At 45.0% G+C, this 17170-nt stretch overlaps 1 protein-coding gene across 9 annotated transcripts in view, besides 2 other annotated features; it reads right to left on the reverse strand.

Moving 5' to 3' along the window:
* Nucleotides 1-17170, reverse strand: part of PRKCQ (protein kinase C theta) — a 186550-nt gene that overhangs the window by 31289 nt on the left and 138091 nt on the right. For 3 of the 9 annotated variants that reach the window (NM_001323265.1, NM_001282645.1, XM_005252496.5), the window contains 3 exons: nucleotides 16508-16696; nucleotides 5425-5553; nucleotides 1758-2977 (listed from right to left, as the gene is read on the reverse strand). In NM_001323265.1, coding sequence (NP_001310194.1) covers nucleotides 2822-2977; nucleotides 5425-5553; nucleotides 16508-16696 — 474 coding nt within the window. In that variant the 3' untranslated portion in view covers nucleotides 1758-2821. Of the gene's footprint in view, nucleotides 1-1757; nucleotides 2978-5424; nucleotides 5554-16507; nucleotides 16697-17170 lie in introns of those variants that run through there. The other 6 variants (NM_001323266.2, NM_001282644.2, NM_006257.5 and 3 more) reach the window with 3 other exon arrangements.
* Nucleotides 7409-7578: an enhancer, noted in NCBI's record as "experimental_13978 CRE fragment used in MPRA reporter constructs". NCBI's record gives its function as "activates a minimal promoter by MPRAs in K562 erythroleukemia cells, with activity observed for both the introgressed and non-introgressed 10:6474841 or rs944712 variant alleles {active_cell/tissue: K562}" and the evidence as "EXISTENCE:reporter gene assay evidence [ECO:0000049][PMID:34662402]".
* Nucleotide 7494: a transcriptional cis regulatory region, noted in NCBI's record as "Neanderthal adaptively introgressed variant 10:6474841 (GRCh37/hg19 assembly coordinates) or rs944712 in the experimental_13978 CRE". NCBI's record gives its function as "modulates activity of the experimental_13978 enhancer by MPRAs in K562 erythroleukemia cells {active_cell/tissue: K562}" and the evidence as "EXISTENCE:reporter gene assay evidence [ECO:0000049][PMID:34662402]".

Here is a 17170-nt window from a genome sequence, read left to right on the forward strand (position 1 = left end):
AGCTAATTTTTTGTATTTTTAGTAGACGGGGTTTCACCATGTTGGTCAGGCTGGTCTCAAACTCCTGACCTCATGATCTGCCTGCCTGGGTCTCCCAAAGTGCTGGGATTACAGGCGTGAACCACCGCACCTGGCCAGGTCTCTCACCTATTAAATAGGGATATTAATAAGCAATTTCAGAGGACACCTGAAAGAATAGAAGGAAGTAACAAGTACTTCGCACACTCAGAAATACGAAGCAAATAGTAAGCTTGTTAGTCACCTGACATATTCATACAGATGACATTTATTAAAAACAAATGATGAGGCCTGTAATCCCAGCACTTTGGTAGAGTGAGGCAGGGGGATCATTTGAGTCCAGGAGTTCAAGACCAGCCTAGGAAACATAGGGAGACTCTGTCTCTAATTCAAAAAAATAAAAAATAAAACAAACAAAACCAAATGATGAATAGACCTTATTTTGGTCTAGTGGAGGGGATAAAAGTTGCGTTGGTTCCTGTTTCTAAGAGCCAACAGTCTTCACTTATTTGTCTCCTGGTAGGGGTCCTGTTGGGGTCTCTGGGTGTCAGGAGGATGCTGGGTGCTGGGGCAGGGGTATGTGGGAACCCAGAGTGAGGAGAGGACGACTGGAAGGAAAATGGGGTAGAGCTGCCCCCAGGCCTGCAGCGAGTGGAATCCACGAGTGTCTGTGTTTTGGAAAGTGTTGCTCACTGACCTTTTAACTTTGCAGGATTTTGATTCAGATTTAGAACCAGAAAGCGCTCTAGTGAGGACTTTAGATAGCGTCTTCACCAACCCCATTGCTCTAGTGAGAAGGGACTTTAGATAGCGTCTTCACCGACCCCATCACTCTAGTGAGACGGGACTTTAGACAGCATCTTCACCTCCATTACTTGGAGGCCCCAAAAGATGAAATGACTTGTTCAGGGCTTCACAGCAAATGCAAAGCAGAGCAGAGATCAGAACAGAACGGGCGGCTCCCTGCCCTCCACTGGCCCATCCAGGGCCTTAAAGGACCCTCTCCCTCCTTCAAGCAGGTGAATTTGGTAAACATGTGTGAGCATTTTCATTTGGAGCAAGGGGAGGACAAGTGTCGCCTTCTCACATAACTAGAGGTTTGTAGTCATGGTGCTATTTTCAGAACAAAGGGCCCGGACACCTGAATGGACACATCTGAAGATAGATGCCCATCCTTAAATGAGGTTACTCGTGTTCATTTTAGGGGAGTGTCTATTTAAAAAAAATCACAAGAGCTCCGTATAGTCAGGAAAATGTTCCAGCACACCTGCAGACTGTCAACAGTCTGCTTATATTAATTATTCTATTTTAAATATAATATCTAAAGTTATTTCCAGCCATGTGATGAGGTAGGCTAGTGACTCCGAATATTATGCAGACTTGCTTTTCTTACAATTGCCTTAATGTCATCTGACTTCCTCACCCTTTGTCTTACTCTACTCCTGCCTCAGCCTCCCAGGTAGCTGGGATTATAGGCCCCCGCCACCACGCCTGGCTAATTTTTGTATTTTTAGTAGAGACAGGGTTTCACCATATTGGCCAGGCTGGTCTCGAACTCCTGACCTTAGGTGATCTGCCCACATTGGCCTCCCAAAGTGCTGGGATTACAGGCGTGAGCCATCGTGCCCAGCCAATCCCCCAACTGTAAAACATCATCTCAATGCTAGCTACATTTTGAGGACTGACACAGCAGAAGCAAGTTCTTGTGGGGGGCAAGCGGGGAAGTAAACGATTAAGAGGACTCTTTTTTTTTTTTTATTCCATTTTTACACATCCACCTGTTTGCCATGAAGTCACAACATTTTATCAAAATATACACACAGCACAAATACCTTTAAAATGTATGGTTGGAATTCTAATTCAACTCAATTGACTGCTGCAAACAGCATGCATGGGCCATTGATCTTGAATGATGCCTACGGAGGGGCTTATGAGTCATGAAATCACCAGTCATGGCACGAGAAGGGGTTAAGGTTCTTTTCCCAGGAGACTTATGCACTTCATTTCTTTTCTTGTTATAGTGTGAGAATGGCAGTGAGTGACTGTGCCAATACTGGAGTCTGCTGAGAATGGGTGGATGGAAAGGTTTTTACTGGCAAGGGTGAAATGATACTATCTTTTCTATCTTGACAAGATAACAAGCGAAGGTGTCTAGCAAACCTTCCCTCTCACTTTCCACTTGTCCTCTTGACCATGGATTTCATGCCCAATCAGGATGAATGGATTTGTAGATCTCAAGTTACAAGCTATGTTTATTGTAAAGAATTCCCATAAAAACCTATCCAGGGCTGGCCCCCCAGCCATTTACACATCCACAGATAGGAATAGAATAAAACGGGTTAGTGATTACTTGTCTGCGGCTGAGTGAGATCCGCTACTAGACCAGGCAATGGGGCCGTTTCAGTCTTGAGACGTCTGTACTCCGTTTGCCCCTGATTCAACAAGCATTTCATTGATCAGCAGTTGGCGCCCAGGTGAAGAGCCATAATTTATTGCAGTATCAAGTCTTGAAACCTTTCCAAGTGCGGAGACCCATCTTTCAAGTAAATAACTATGGTTAGTAATGACCTAACTTCAGGAGCGTCTGTGAGACATGTCAGGAGACGAGACACACGGCATCGTCATTAGTGAAGTAGACTTGGTTTCTGCTACAGATAAAAGTCACATGGGGGCGAACGGGTCTCAGTCTTTATTGTTGAGTGTTTCTTTCTTTTTCCAAGTTGAAAAAGGAACCCAAGCAGTGTCTCTTGAACCAGTTCCCAGGGAGAAGGCAAATTCTTTCCTGTCTCTGGAGGGGCAAGATTCAGGATATCAGCCGCTCCATCCCGGGGTTCATGAAGGAAAAGTTCCTGAACATATTCTGGTCCATGCTGTTGATCAGTGCTCTGTCGGCAAATGACAGCCGGGGCTTCTCGTTTAAGAATTCTTTGTCGAAATTGCTGCAGTCAAATGGTGATTTCTTAGTCAGAGTTTAAGGGAAGAAAGAAAGAGAAGAAAAATCAGCCATTAAGTTCATGATCTTCACTTTTGTTATCTAGGCCGTGATCTGCGTATGGCAAAGTTGGTGTTTGCAGAGACACTAAATGGAGGCAATGCCTACAGATGACCATGCCCAGCTCTCATTGAACATGGCTGTGATCCTGTGTCCTCAGCTTAATAATAATATAAATTCATAAATTCACAGAAAGACTACGACTGTAGACATTCAAATGGGATCTAATGTTTCTAATGGTTTACATGAAGCAGGGTTGGCAACCTTTGAAAAAGTGATCCACCTGAATTTGACCTCTGCCTCTTCAGTTTTCATGGAACACAAGGTGGGGATAAGGGAGGGTGGTGGGGAGAGGGAGTGAGGGGGTGTGAGCGGAGGGATGGGAAGAGAGAAGGAATTTCACAATTACATATTCCTGTTCTTTTATCAACGTTCTTGGCTGTTGTCAGTCCCCTGCCCTTGTTAATTTTATTAGTAAGTATCTTGGGCTTTTTTAGACAGCACAGACTGGGACAGACTCCTTTCAGACCACTTGGTCCATTGGTTTTCATGGCAAAAAAACCAAAACCAAACCAAACAACAGAGAAAGGGAAAGCAAACATCTATTTCATACATGCTGTTCAGTATGGTGTTCAATTCAGTGTCCCAAGATTGAGAACAACCATTATCAACAGAAAGTGCTATGAACACAGAGAAGCGAAATGAAGAACCAGGCCCCTCCCACCCTCCAAGGGGCCCTGGGGCTGTGAGGTCAATGGCAGCTCAGACCACAGGTCAGGGAAAGTTTCCTACTGGCAGAACTGGGAATGTCCTTTAGGGTAAGCTTAGATCAAAGTTTTGATTTTTATGTGCAAAATATTAAGTCAATTTTAATCTGCAGTGGAAGGTGAGACATGGTTTAATAGTTCTGATAGCTAAAAACAAGGTAAAATTTTTATTTTATCACAAATGACTAACCCACGTATTAGATGTGGTTCTGTCACAAGTAATTAGAGTGCTTGAGGCTGGCCTGTTGGGTCCTTGGAACATCACTGGAGCTTGGGACAGATGTTGAGAACAACTATTCTTGCCCTGGGAATGAGATGCACCTGCTTCTTCTGGCCATTCGCTATCATGACTAATAGCCTGTGCGTTCTCTGGGGTGGAATCTGTTGGGAAGTCCATGAGCCTGGCCCCCTTCAGCACGGATATGGCCCATGTCTATCCAGGCAATCACAGGGAATGGTTAAGGCTGGCAAACCCACAACTTTGCTCTACTCTTTTAAAAATCATTATTTTTAGAAATTGTGATATACATAACTTAAAATTTACTTTCTTAATGACTTTTTTTTGTTGTTTTTCTAAAAAGTTTTATTTTTGGAGACAGTCTCTCGCTCTGTCACCAGGCTGGAGTGCAGTGGTGTGAACCCAGCTCACTGCATCCTCTTGGGCTCAAGTAATCCTCCTGTCTTGGCCTACTGAGGAGTTTGAACTACAGGCATGCACCACCAAGCCCACTTAATTTTGTAGAGATGGGGTTTCACTATGTTGCCTAGGCTAGTCTCAAACTTCTGGGCTCAGGCAATCCTCCCACCTCAGCCTCCCGAGTAGCCAGGATTATAGGCGCCCGCAACCATGCCCAGCTAATTTTTGTATTTTTAGTAGAGACAAGGTTTCACCATGTTGGCCAGGCTGACCTCGAACTCCTGACCTCAGGTGATCCACCCGCCTCGGCTTTCCAAAGTGCTGGGATTACAGGCGTGAGCCACCATGCCCAGCCCAACCTTGCTTTATTTTTGACTTCACTTTATGGTGGCCCGTCTCGCAGGTGAGCCAGGTCATTCTGCCTTTGCTGATGTAGCTTAATGACTTTTGCCAGTGAGGACATAAATGGAAATGTACAGACCTATCTTTTTTAAAGCACGGATTTAGTTAGTTTCTCCCTTAAACCAAAGAACACCTAACAATTACCCTTAGGAAATGTCGTTATATGAGCACTTTACAGATACTTTAATAAACATCATGGAAAAAACAGCTCCAAAATTCCTGACGTAGGATGCAGGGTTTATGTCCAAGTTTGGGTTACCCAGACTGGACCATTAAGTACGTATGTGTCATGTGCACAACCCCCATCTTGTTTAATAGTCACCCTCACAAATTCATATTCAACCTAAGGCGTGGACACACAGCAATCCATTCTTCATGCAGGCGCATCTTGACGACAGAGATTAAATTTTGCAAACAAGAGTGACCTCCCCTCCCTGCCCCACCAGCCCAGTAACATGTGTTAGAGACGTGCATTCCTCCTGGAGAGTGGGGCTGGTGGGGAGTTGGGGCACCGGCAGGGGTGAGCAGCTGCGGTGACTTGGACAGGCAGACGGCCCTGAGCGGAGGGAGAGTGGCTGACACCAAGCGGCCCATGAGCGAGTCCTTACCACTTTCGGCCGGAACGGTGGGTCAATCTCCTTCCGTTCAAGTTCCTCCCAGTTGATCTCCCGAAACAAAGGGTGCTGGCGGATGTCTCCCCTCACGCCCAGCCTCTTCTCAGGTTCTCGCACGAAGAGCTGAAAGGGAGCAGAGCAGGAGCCCTGAGGTCTCCAGGGATGACCCTTTTGCATCAGGAGGTCGTGGTGCTTCCTGGTGCACCAGCCCCTTCTTTTCTAACCTCATTTTTCTACTCACCTTCATCAGGACTGACTAAAGTCAACCTGTCCTGGCACTCTCCCTTGAAGAAGCCTTTCTAAATTTGCTGGAGTCTGACACGTTATCTTCTGAGGTGCATAGACCTGATTTGAAACCGGCTTTGCCCTGTGTTATTAATTGGACCTTAGGCAACTGACAAACCTGAGTCAGTTTCCTCACCTGTAAAGTAAGCCAAGTGCCCTCCTAACAGGGCTGATGTGACGATTTATAAGACAGCAATACACACACAAACACGCACATAGACAGGCACACACGTGCACACAGACAGGCACATGTGACGGCATACACACATGGACATAAACACACACTGGCACACATGCACATAAATGTGAGCACGTGCAGACATACATACACATGAACACATGCATACACATGCACATGGACATGAACACATACACCTGCACACCCACTAAAACACAAATGTGAGCACACGCACACGGACAGGCATACACACGCATACACACACGTACAGGAACACATGCACACACACGCACGCATTTGTGCAGTATAACTCCTGGTCTGTTACACCCAACAGCATAGAGTCAGTGATAATTTGTCATTTGATCAATTATCCATCACTCCAGTCTGATTTCTTACAAAGCTGCATTCTTAGAATGATTCCAGCATTGTGGGGACTCAGGTATAATAGAAACTAGTCCCAGACAGTCAGCTTTGGACTCTACAAGGCATCTGAGTGAAGAGAATTACCCTCAGCTCCTGCAAACCTGCTGGAGGAGCAATATTTAATTCAAGGTCCATCTAATAATTTCTGAGCTGGCACATACATACATATGTACATTCCTCTCTGCACTGTTCCTTCTCCTGTTCTTTCTGCCTAAGAAGTTAAAATGAACACTGGCAAGACAGGAAAGAAACTTGGATATTTTTCAAACTTAAATAAAACCTGTCAAGGGCATTAAGAAACAGGAGAGTCTAAACATTAACTTAGAAAAGTAACAGGTCCCCTGGGTGTCTGGAGTAGTTACCGGTTATTCTTACATCAGCTAGATGTTTATTTATGAAGTAACCATGAGTTATAGGGCATTTTAAGGAGCCTAAGGTTCTTTAAAACAGAAAACATGGTGGAACGCGTGATTTTCCAGGAGGCTTTCCCAGGGACTTGACCTCCATTCACACCTAAATTGCGAGTCTCTTGTTTTTACTGCTCATAAACATAGCCAGCCTGCATGTTCTGAAATAGTGCTTCACTTGTGTTATCTGAGTACTTGAAAATCTTCAAAGGCTCCGTTCTACCAAAAAAATATAAAGACCAAACAACATGCTATTGTAAAGTGAAGTTTTTTCGCTTTTTTAAAAAAAAGTAGGAGAATCTTTTAAAGTTCCGGGTGAAATGTTTGTGCAATCACCCGGTGTATCTGATTGGCAAATTCTTAGCAGTCTCAACTTCCTCTCTCCCCCTTACCATATGGGGACTGCTGAGGACTCTCTAGGGAAACTTGGGGTTCCAAAGTACCCAATTAGAAAGCCACTGCACGGTGGAAATAACACGACAGCTATCCGAGAGACTGACTACCCACGTCGCCTTGGATAAGTTTTCTGAGTCTCAGTTTCCTCGTGTGTAAAGGAAGGGCTAGACAAGGTGATCTCTAGGGCTTGGAGAGTTCTGACATCCTCGGGTCCTCGGCTGGCATTCAAGGCTCTCTGGAGTCTGACGCTGACTCACAGGACCTTCCATTTCCCATTAGGACCCTCTCCAGTCCAGACATTTCTGCTCACCGAAAACACCACCTGCCTTCCTGTCTCTGTCCCTCACTAATGACATTTCCATCTTGCCATGAGATACCCTCCCCTAGTCGACTCCTGCTTCCCTCCCCTCATCTTTAAATTCTGCCTTATCTTTCAGGGCTCAGCTTTCACCCCCTTTTCCTTGTGAAACTTTCTTTGATTACCTCCCCTGACAGGGAGCTCTCTCTCTTCTGTTCAAGTCATATTCAGGATTGATCACCCTATCATACATCATTCACATCACTCATGATTCTTACGACTGATACATCATCCACTCCAACCAATGTTCTTTGAGAGGCAGGCACTGTGCTAGATGCCTCAGTGATTTTCAAACAAATTCTAAGAGAAACAAATTCATCATCCCAGTTGTCAGCTGAGGAAGCCGAGCTTCAGAGGATCTAGCACTTTGATGACAAGCGGCCTCCTTCCCCCTCATCCTGATGGATAATCTCTCATCTGTGTACCACACAACATCTTCGCTCCACTGGAGAATTAGCACATTGTATCTTTTTTCCAAGGTTGTCTTCTTTCCTACCACACTGTAAGCTCTGGAGGCCGGGCACCATTGACATATCTATTCCTTACAGAAGCTAGCATAGTGCCGTGCACAACATAGATGCTCAGTAGATGCCTGCAGAGTAAGTGAATAAGCTGTCTTTCCATTTTGTTTATCTGCAGATCACGCATCTTCTATCCTCATTTTATCTCGGTTGCCTGTTTTCAGCATAGAAAAGAAGCACCAAGTTCACGGTAAGATATATTTTTCTGTAGACTCAGAAAATGGAGTGGGTACTAAAAGCCCTTCATCACCACTGTGCAATCCACATAGGTAACGAAATGACACCTGCACCCCATACATTTATACAAACCATAAAACAGCAGGAGTCATCACATGGAGCTGATTGATGTTTTAGAAGCAAAGAGGGGCTGGGCACGGTGGCTCATGCCTGTAATCCCGTCACTTTGGGAGGCTGAGGTGGGTGGATCACCTGAGGTCAGGAGTTTGAGACCAGCCTAGCCAACATAGTGAAACCCCATCTCTACTAAAAATACAAAAATTAGCCGGGTGTGGTGGTGGACGCCTGTAACCCCAGCTATGCGGGAGGCTGAGGCAGGAGAATCATTTGAACCTGGGAGGTGGAGGTTGCAGTGAGCCGAGATCGCACCACCACTGCACTCCAGCCTGGGCAACAGAGCAAGACTCCTTAAAAAAAAAAAAAAAAAAAGGAAGCAAAAGGAATAAGTGACTTGCCCTATATCCCTTCTCCTGAAACAATGATACTAAATGATAAATGATTGGTCTCTGCTTCTTAAGGACATTTGGATGAAACGAGATTAGATAGATGGCGTAAGTGTCTCAGGAAGGGGCCAAAACCTCGCTCATGTTGTTCTAATGAGATGCTTCAGCAAAGTAGGCTGGAAGTAACTGCCCTGGGCCGTGTGTGCTGCAGGCTGGGTTTTCTATTCTATTTCTTCCAGTGAACATGTGGTATTTGTACCAAGAGGATCATGTCAATGGGCTTTCTTAGCTTGGATGTGTACCTGCAAAATTTAAAAATATATTTTAAAAAATTAAATGTGTAATGAGAAGAGCATATGGTCTCCAGCTCTGAGCGTCAATATTCTTTCCAGTTTTGCACAGAACGGTAAATTAGTATATGTTCTGCCTTGCAGCGACTCAACCCACTGAGGTCCTGAGGATGACAGGTGACCTCATGGGAGTGGGGCCAGGCTGGAAGCTCCGCCCCTGGAAAGCTGCACTGAGGAAATAAAATACCTGAAGACTTGATTTTGTCTGTAAAAGCTGTCAGGACGGAGGTTTACATTGATGGGAAAAAATAGCCAGGATGTAGTTGAAGTTTGTTTAAGTTTATTGGACAGTCTGTGCAAGAAAGCAGCTCCAGGCTGCAGAGGACAGCCAGCAGTAGTGCTGACAGATTGTACCTGGAACCTGCCTTCCCTCTTCAGTCCCTCCTCAGATATGTCTTTCTATGAAAGGAAGAGATATTTATGTTCTATATCATTAGTTTCCCATCATTTTCAAACAAATAGACAGGACATCCTGGATGGATAAATGAGGAAGTAAAGAGTGTTTTTTTTCTTTTTTTTGAGATGGAGTCTTGCTCTGTCACCCAGGCTGGAGTGCAGTGGCGCGATCTCGGCTCACTGCAAGCTCCGCCTCCCGCGTTCATGCCATTCTCTTGCCTCAGCCTCCCGAGTAGCTGGGACTACAGGCGCCCACCACCACACCTGGCTAATTTTTTGTACTTTTAGTAGAGACGGGGAGTAAAGGGTGTTTCTTTGGCAATCATCAACTGGACAGCAGTGTCCCCACTGGAATTCTTGCCAGAGCACAGCCTCTCCCAGTGGGCAATTGTTCAGTGCACGACATGCATCCATGCCCTAGGTGGGCCAATGGCAACGGGTCTGGCACTGCTGCTGTCACAGATGCCATGAAATGCTGCTATCCTCAGCTTTTCCGGAGGACCTATGACTTCTGGGTTTCATAACATTTTGTCAAATTCCCTAGAAGACGTTTCTGAGAAAGGGCATTACCTTTTATTTTTGCAACAAATGGGGCTCAAGAATGTGGGGGCTGTTGGATCAAAGCAAAGGAGGAATAGAGATAAAGCTGCAAGCCAGTTTATGGGCAGCAGATTGCATAATGGAAATTAATTTTATCAGCCCAACTGCAAGAATATGTGTAAGAGAAAGTTCATGGAAGTTTTACTAACTCACATGGGAAATAACAAGTCCAAACTCTTCTATGTCAACTTTGAACAGCAGTGTCCAATCTTTTGGCTTCCTTGGGCCGCATTGGAAGAAGGATTGTCTTGGGCCACACCTAAAATACACTAACACTAACAATAGCTGATGAACTAAAACAAAAATCACAAAAAATGTCGTAATGTCATAAAGTTTAGGAATTTGTGTTGGGCTGCATTCAAAGCCATCCTGGGCTGTATGCAGGGCGTGGGTTGGGCAAGCTTCATTTAGAACTTCTTTTTACTGAGAATGGTGGCTCATGCCTGTAATCCCAGCACATTGGGAGGCTGAGGCGGGCAGATTGCTTTGAGCTCCAGAATTTGAGACCTGCCTGGGGAACATGGCAAAACCCGTCTCTACAAAAAATACAAAAATCAGCTGGGCATTGGTGGCATGCACCTGTAGTCCCAGCTTCATGGAAGACTGAGGCTGGAGAATTGCTTGAGCCTGGGAAGCATAGGCTGCAGTGAGCTGAGACTGCACCACTGCACTCCAGCCTGGGTGACAGAGCGACACTCTGTCTTAAAAAAGAAAAGAACCTCTTTCACCCACCAGTCCTCTTGTTTGCTTCTTTAAACTTTATTATCTTAGTTTCTGCTCTATTCAACCAAATTTATTTTCTTCTCTTGTGGCAACTCTTTCTCTTGCCACTGAAACTCTGCAGATGACTTTTTATTTGGGTGTTTGCAAGGCATTTAGCCTTAGATTTAGTTTTGTTTTTAAATAATTATAGATTCACAGGATGTTGATAAGACAGTACAGAGATGTCCTGGGTGCTCTTCACCCTATTTCTCCCAACGGTTCCATCCCACGTAATGATAGCATAAGATTAGGAGCTGGCCTGGTACCGTGTGTGTATATACTACTTATGCCATTTTATCACATGTGCAGATATGGGCAACCTCCACGCCAAGCAAGATACAAACTGTTCCATAACTGCAAAGATCTACCTGTGCTGCATCCTGAGAGTCACGCCCACCCTCCTGTCCCCAGCACCCCAACCCCAGGCAACCACTAATCTGACTTCCATTTCTATGGTGTTGCCACTTTAATGAAGTTATATCAATGGACTCAGAGAGTATGTGATCTTTTGAGATTGGCTTTTTGCACTCAGCATAATGCCTTGGGTTGTTTTATAGATCAATAGTTTGTTCCTTTTCATTGCTGAGTAGGATTCCAGCACACGGCTTTTCACCTTTTCTCCTCCAACTGGAAGGAACCCTTTCTTCCCATCCAATCTTTCTCTCCTTGGAAATCATCACTTCCAACTTCTCTCCACGGAATTACTTCTGGTTACCTCTGTCCCTCCTTCACTCTCCGTCCTGGCCTGAAGTATTGCATATCCTCAAGGTAGGCTGGGTTTGTGAAGCACAGGGGGAAGCTGGCATTTATGGGCCATGAGGGGTGTTGGGGGATTGTGACTCTCCCTCCAGAGCCTCCACCTTGGGACTCACTTGGAGACAGCCCCTGAGTCTGGAGGTGCTCTCACGCCTCAGGTTGTACAGACTAAGCCTTGTGCTCACTTTTTTCCAGTGGGTTTTGCTGGCCCAGGCTTTGCAGTGCAGCCTCATGCTTTGGACTGAATGGCGTCCTCTCAAAATACACATGTTGATGCCCTAACCCACAATGTAACTGTAGGTAAGGGCTTTATGGAGATAATTCGGGTTAAATGAGGTCATGGGGTAAGGTCTTGATCCAATAGGGCTAGAAGTCTCACATGAAAGAGAGACCAGAGTTTATCTCTCTCTCTCTCTGCTGTAAGGACACAACAAGAAGGCAGCTGTCTACCAGCCAGGAAGAGAGTCCTCATCAGGAACTGACACTGCTGGACCTTAATCTTGGACTTTCTGCCTCTAAAACTGTGAGAAAGAAATGTCTGTTGTTTAACCCACTCAGTCTGTGATATCTTGTTATGGAGCCCAAGCTGACACATTTCACACTGAGTTCATTATTACGATTGCTACATTTATTGCTACAAATGTAGCAATTGTAATAGTGTTTGAACCTGCCTTTATATAAAATAAAAAACTTTATATCCAGATCCCACTAACTTATTATTTTTTTTATTTTTTATTTTTTTGAGATGGAGTCTTGCTCTGTCGCCCAGGCTGGAGTGCAGTGGTGTGATCTCGGTTCACTACAAGCTCCGCCTCCCGGGTTCACACCATTTTCCTGCCTCAGCCTCCCAAGTAGCTGGGACCACAGGCGCCCGCCACAACACCTGGCTAATTTTTTTTGTATTTTTAGTAGAGATGGGGTTTCACCGTGTAAGCCAGGATGGTCTGGATCTCCTGACCTCATGACCCGCCCATCTCGGCCTCCCAAAGTGCTGGGATTACAGGCGTGAGCCACCGTGCCCGGCTCCCACTAACTTATTTTTACTGTTGTCAGCCTTTTTAAAAAAATTGGTTAATTTTGAGATTAGTTTTCATTTTATCTGTGTTTGGTCATTAAAAGTGCCTTTAATTGATTGTTGAGGGAGTTTTCTAAGCTATTGCTTGTTTGGATCATAGTCAGAAAGTGAAAGCTGAATGGAAGTGGCTCAAATTTTTAAACATCTTGTTCCTTTACCCCTGGGCTGGGGATCCTGTGAGGGCTTTGTCAGCACTTCTCAGATTCAAGATCTTGATTTTCCAGGGAGAGCCCTGGAGTTGCCTCCAAGTTTCTAATGCCCAAGACAAGTTGTCACTTTTATTAGAGAGGTGGAAGTGTATTCCCTTTACATTTAATTCTAAGTACTTCTTCAAAAGCAAAAAAGTAGATTAGTGAAAAAAGATGAGCCTGCTAATATTTTTCTAGTTTTTAATTTAGAACCCATGGATAGCTTCCAATGTTGAAGGATCTTATCCTATTCCCATTTTCAATATAGCACGAACAAGGCTAAAAATTATTTCTCTAAATGATGATTATTTTTTAACCAGCTGACATATGAAATGCCAGAAATCAAAACAATGTTTCTTCCAAAACACCTGCATTCTTGGTCCACTTCCTTTAGATGTGCTAGACTCTTTTTTTTTTGCGGGGGGGACAGGGTCTTGCTCTGTCACCTAGGCTGGAGTGCAGTGGTGTGATCATGGCTCATTGTAACCTCCACCTTGTGGGCTCAAGTGATCCTCCCATCTCAGCCTCCTGAGTAGCTGAGACCATAGGCGCCAGCCACCCTACCTGGCTAATTTTTAGATTTTTTGTAGAGATGGGGTCTTGCTATGTTGCCCAGGCTGGTCTTGAATTTCGGGCTGCTCAAGCAATCCTCCCACCTTAGCCTTTCAAAGGGCGAGGGTTCCAGGCATGAGCCACCACACCCAGCCTAGATGTGCTAGGCTCTTGATTACAGTGATGGGTCTCTTTGACCCAAATATTTGCTGGGACAGCTCAGTATATGTAGGTCCTTATTATTCTTCTATGTATTTAGCATGTTGTATTGACATGATTCATTTCATTCTACAACTTGCTACGCCCATACACTGTGGAGAATATTTCGCATCCTCAAAAAAGGCCAACTCTGAGTCTGTCTAGAGTCCAGATCTTTCTTGATGGCTCTCAGGTGTTCCTCTGTCTCCACGTGGGTTTGCCTTGGGAGCTCCTGGCTCACACCTTGTGATTCTCAGAGCCCAGTTTCCACCTGTAATACTGTGCCTGTATTCTCGATGGATCCTGGGCTACCACGGATAGGGCGCTGAATTCCGTTTTGATGGTGAATTCTGGAGATTGCTGCTAAGATGGTAATAGCCTGTACTCTCAGAGTTTGTTAGAGTGAAGAAGTCAACAATATTTCTGGTGGACAGTGGGTAGGGCAGGTTGGGGAGAGCTGGTCTGTAGGTATTTTAAGTGCAATTGACCCTTGATGAACCTGGATTTGAACTGCACCAGTCCACTAATATGTAGATTTTTTCAATCAAATTTACACCAAGTGTGCCTGCCTCTCCTGCCTCCCTTCCACCTCCTCCACCTCTTTTGCCTCTGCCACTCCTAAGACAGCAAGACCAACTCCCCCTCTTCCTCAGCCCTCTCAACATGAAGACAAGGATGAAGATCTTTATGATGATCTACTTCCACTTAATGAACAGTAAACACATTTTCCTATAATTTTCTTAATAGAATTTTCTTCTGTAGCTTCTTAGATTGTAAGAATACAGTATATCATACATATAACATATAACACATGTGTTAATTGACTTTGTGTTATTGGTAAGGCTTCTGGTCAACAGTAGGTTATTGGTGGTCGTTTTGGGGGACTCAAAAGCTATATGCAGATTTGTCATTGCATAGGAGGTTGGCTCCTCTAACTGCTGAGCTGTTCAAAGGTCAACTGTACTGGCTGATATGGTTTGGCTTTGTGTCCCCACCCAGAATCTCATCTTGAATTATAATCCTATAATCCCCATGTGTCACGGGAGGGACTCGATGGGAGGTGATTGAATCATGGGGGCGGTTTCCCCCCATGCTGTTCTTATGATAGTGAGAGTATAGTTTCATAAGGGGCTTCCCCCTTCCCGCTTGGCTCTCATTCTCTCTCCTGCTGCCCTGTGAAGAGGTGCCTTCTGCCATGATTGCAAGTTTCCTGAGGCCTCCCCAGCCATGCAGAACTGTGAGTCAGTTAAACCTCTTTCCTTTATAAATTACCCAGTATTAGGTATGTCCTTACAGCAGCATGAGAACAGACTAGTACACTGCCCAAGACAATCTGCTGGGCAGGAAACCAACAGTGAGAGAGTCTTGCAGAATCAGCGTTGGTACAGTATATAGGCCAGGGACTGGACTGAATGCCTGTATCTCAAGGGTTTCAGCCAAACACATCTGCAAGGATAAGTATTTCTGCAGAACCTAGTAGAGTGCCTCATTGAAGTCTCAGCTTTAGCCATCCTCCAGTTCAGGGGTAGGAGGCTGCCAGCCGAATAAGAACTGTTTTTTTCTGCTCATCCTCTTTCCTCTCTCAGCTTCTACCTGGTAAGGTCTGAAGCAGAAACTCAGGAGTTAGAATGGAAGAGAACAAGAACACAGCCAGCAAGAGCATGACAACACTGTCTCCTCCAGTAGTGAGCAGCTGCCAATCACGAGCTCTGAGCAGAGGAAAGGAAGCAGGAGTCCCAGCTTTAAAATTAAAATTTATGTGATGAGGCTGGGCATGGTGGCTCACATCTGTAGTCCCAGCACTTTGGGAGGCCGAGGCGGGCAGATCCCTTGAGGTCAGGAGTTCAAGACCAGCTTGGCCAACATGGTGAAACTCCACCTCTACTAAAAATACAAAAATTTAGGTGAGTGTGGTCGTGCACCTGTGATCCCAGCTACTCAGGAGGCTGAGGCAGGAGAATCGCTTTAACCTGGGAGGTGGAGGTTGCAGTGAGCCAAGATCATGCCACTGCACTGCAGCCTGGGTGAGGGAGTGAGACTGTCTCAAAAAAGAAAAAAGTTATGTGATGAATAATATCCCAGACTGGATGGTTTTAATTTCCCCACTGAGACAGTGTTTCATAACATAAGAGTGACAATAGGTTGTCTTTTATCTAAGAGCAGGCCAAAAAGTCATACATCCTGTCCAAGATTTCAACCAGAGGCAGGGGAAGATGAACTGGACTGAATATTTCTAATAAAAAACTATGGGAAACAAAAGACTGAGTAAAATAAAAAAAAACCCTCTATATAACATAAATGCCCATTTTCTCCTGCCTCAGCCTTCTGAGTAGCTGGGATCACAGGCGTGTGCCACTATGCCTGGCTAATTTTGTATTTTCAGTAGAGACCGTGTTTCTCCATGTTGGTCAGGCTGGTCTCAAACTCCTGACCTCAGGTGATCCGCTCACCTTGGCCTCCCAAAGTGCTGGGATTACAGGTGTGAGCTACTGCACCCAGCCTAAATGCCCATTTTGTTTCTTTTTTTTTTCCCCTTTATTGTTTTGGAGACAGGGGTCTCGATACATTGCCCAGGCTGACCTCACACTTCCAACTTCAATCCTCCTGCCTCAACCTCCCAAGTAGCTAGAAGATTGATTTTTAAGCCACACACTGTGCTTGTTTAATGAACCAACTACATCTCCAGGTGAGCGTATTCAAGGTCATGGAACTGGTTCCTGGGCCGTTATGTTATAACTGATGCACATGAGGGTTTCTCTTACACTCATTTTGACATTTAATGCTCATAATATTGGTGCCTCTATTAAAACACAGACGGTGCACATCCCATTTAAACCCAGTTCAATAATAATCATTGTTTGCCACATGCAAGTTGGAAACTAAGAGGAACAGAAAACTGACCAGAAGACCTAATGCTCGTCTTATGAAGACGCTCTTGGCTTCGCTTCTTACCTTCACCAGAAGGTCCTTTGCTTCCTTCTCCAGCCACCGTGGGTAAAAGGGATTGTCCATGCGGATGGAGTGGAAGAGCTCCTCCTCATCCTGCCCGTGGAAAGGCGACTGACCAATCAGCATTTCATAAAGGAGAACCCCGAAGGACCACCAGTCCACAGAGTGGTTGTATTTCTGACCCAGCAAGATCTGCACAACCAAAAGGCAGACAGGAAATTAACAGGAATGAGGCTGAGGAGTGACAACTCTTCCTGAGCGTCTCAAGGCCACTCAGTAAATGGTCGAGGATGATGGTGTGCAAGAAAGATCACCCTGAAACCCATCTCTTGGGAAGCCAATGACTGGAGAGCAGTGTCTAAACAATGCTGAAATTTTTGAGTTTGAGTCTGAGTAAACACTTTTCAGTTTCAATTTGTACTTTTCCTCTGCTTATAAAGAAACAATGAAACTATGCCATTAGTTTTTATTTTCCCATCAGTGACATGGGAACTTAGGTGGCAGATATTGGACCTAAGAAAGCTGGTATGTGTCTAAGTTCTTCAGTGGCTCTGGTGTGAGCCTGGAAACCAAGCCTACGTGCTTTGCTGACTTGTACTGTCCTGAGTCTTTGCATAAACTCTGTAGTAATCAGGCATCCAAAGAGGTCATCTGGACAGTTCCCTT

Source organism: Homo sapiens, chromosome 10 (genome assembly GCF_000001405.40).
Source record: "Homo sapiens chromosome 10, GRCh38.p14 Primary Assembly".
Classification (NCBI taxonomy): domain Eukaryota; kingdom Metazoa; phylum Chordata; class Mammalia; order Primates; family Hominidae; genus Homo; species Homo sapiens.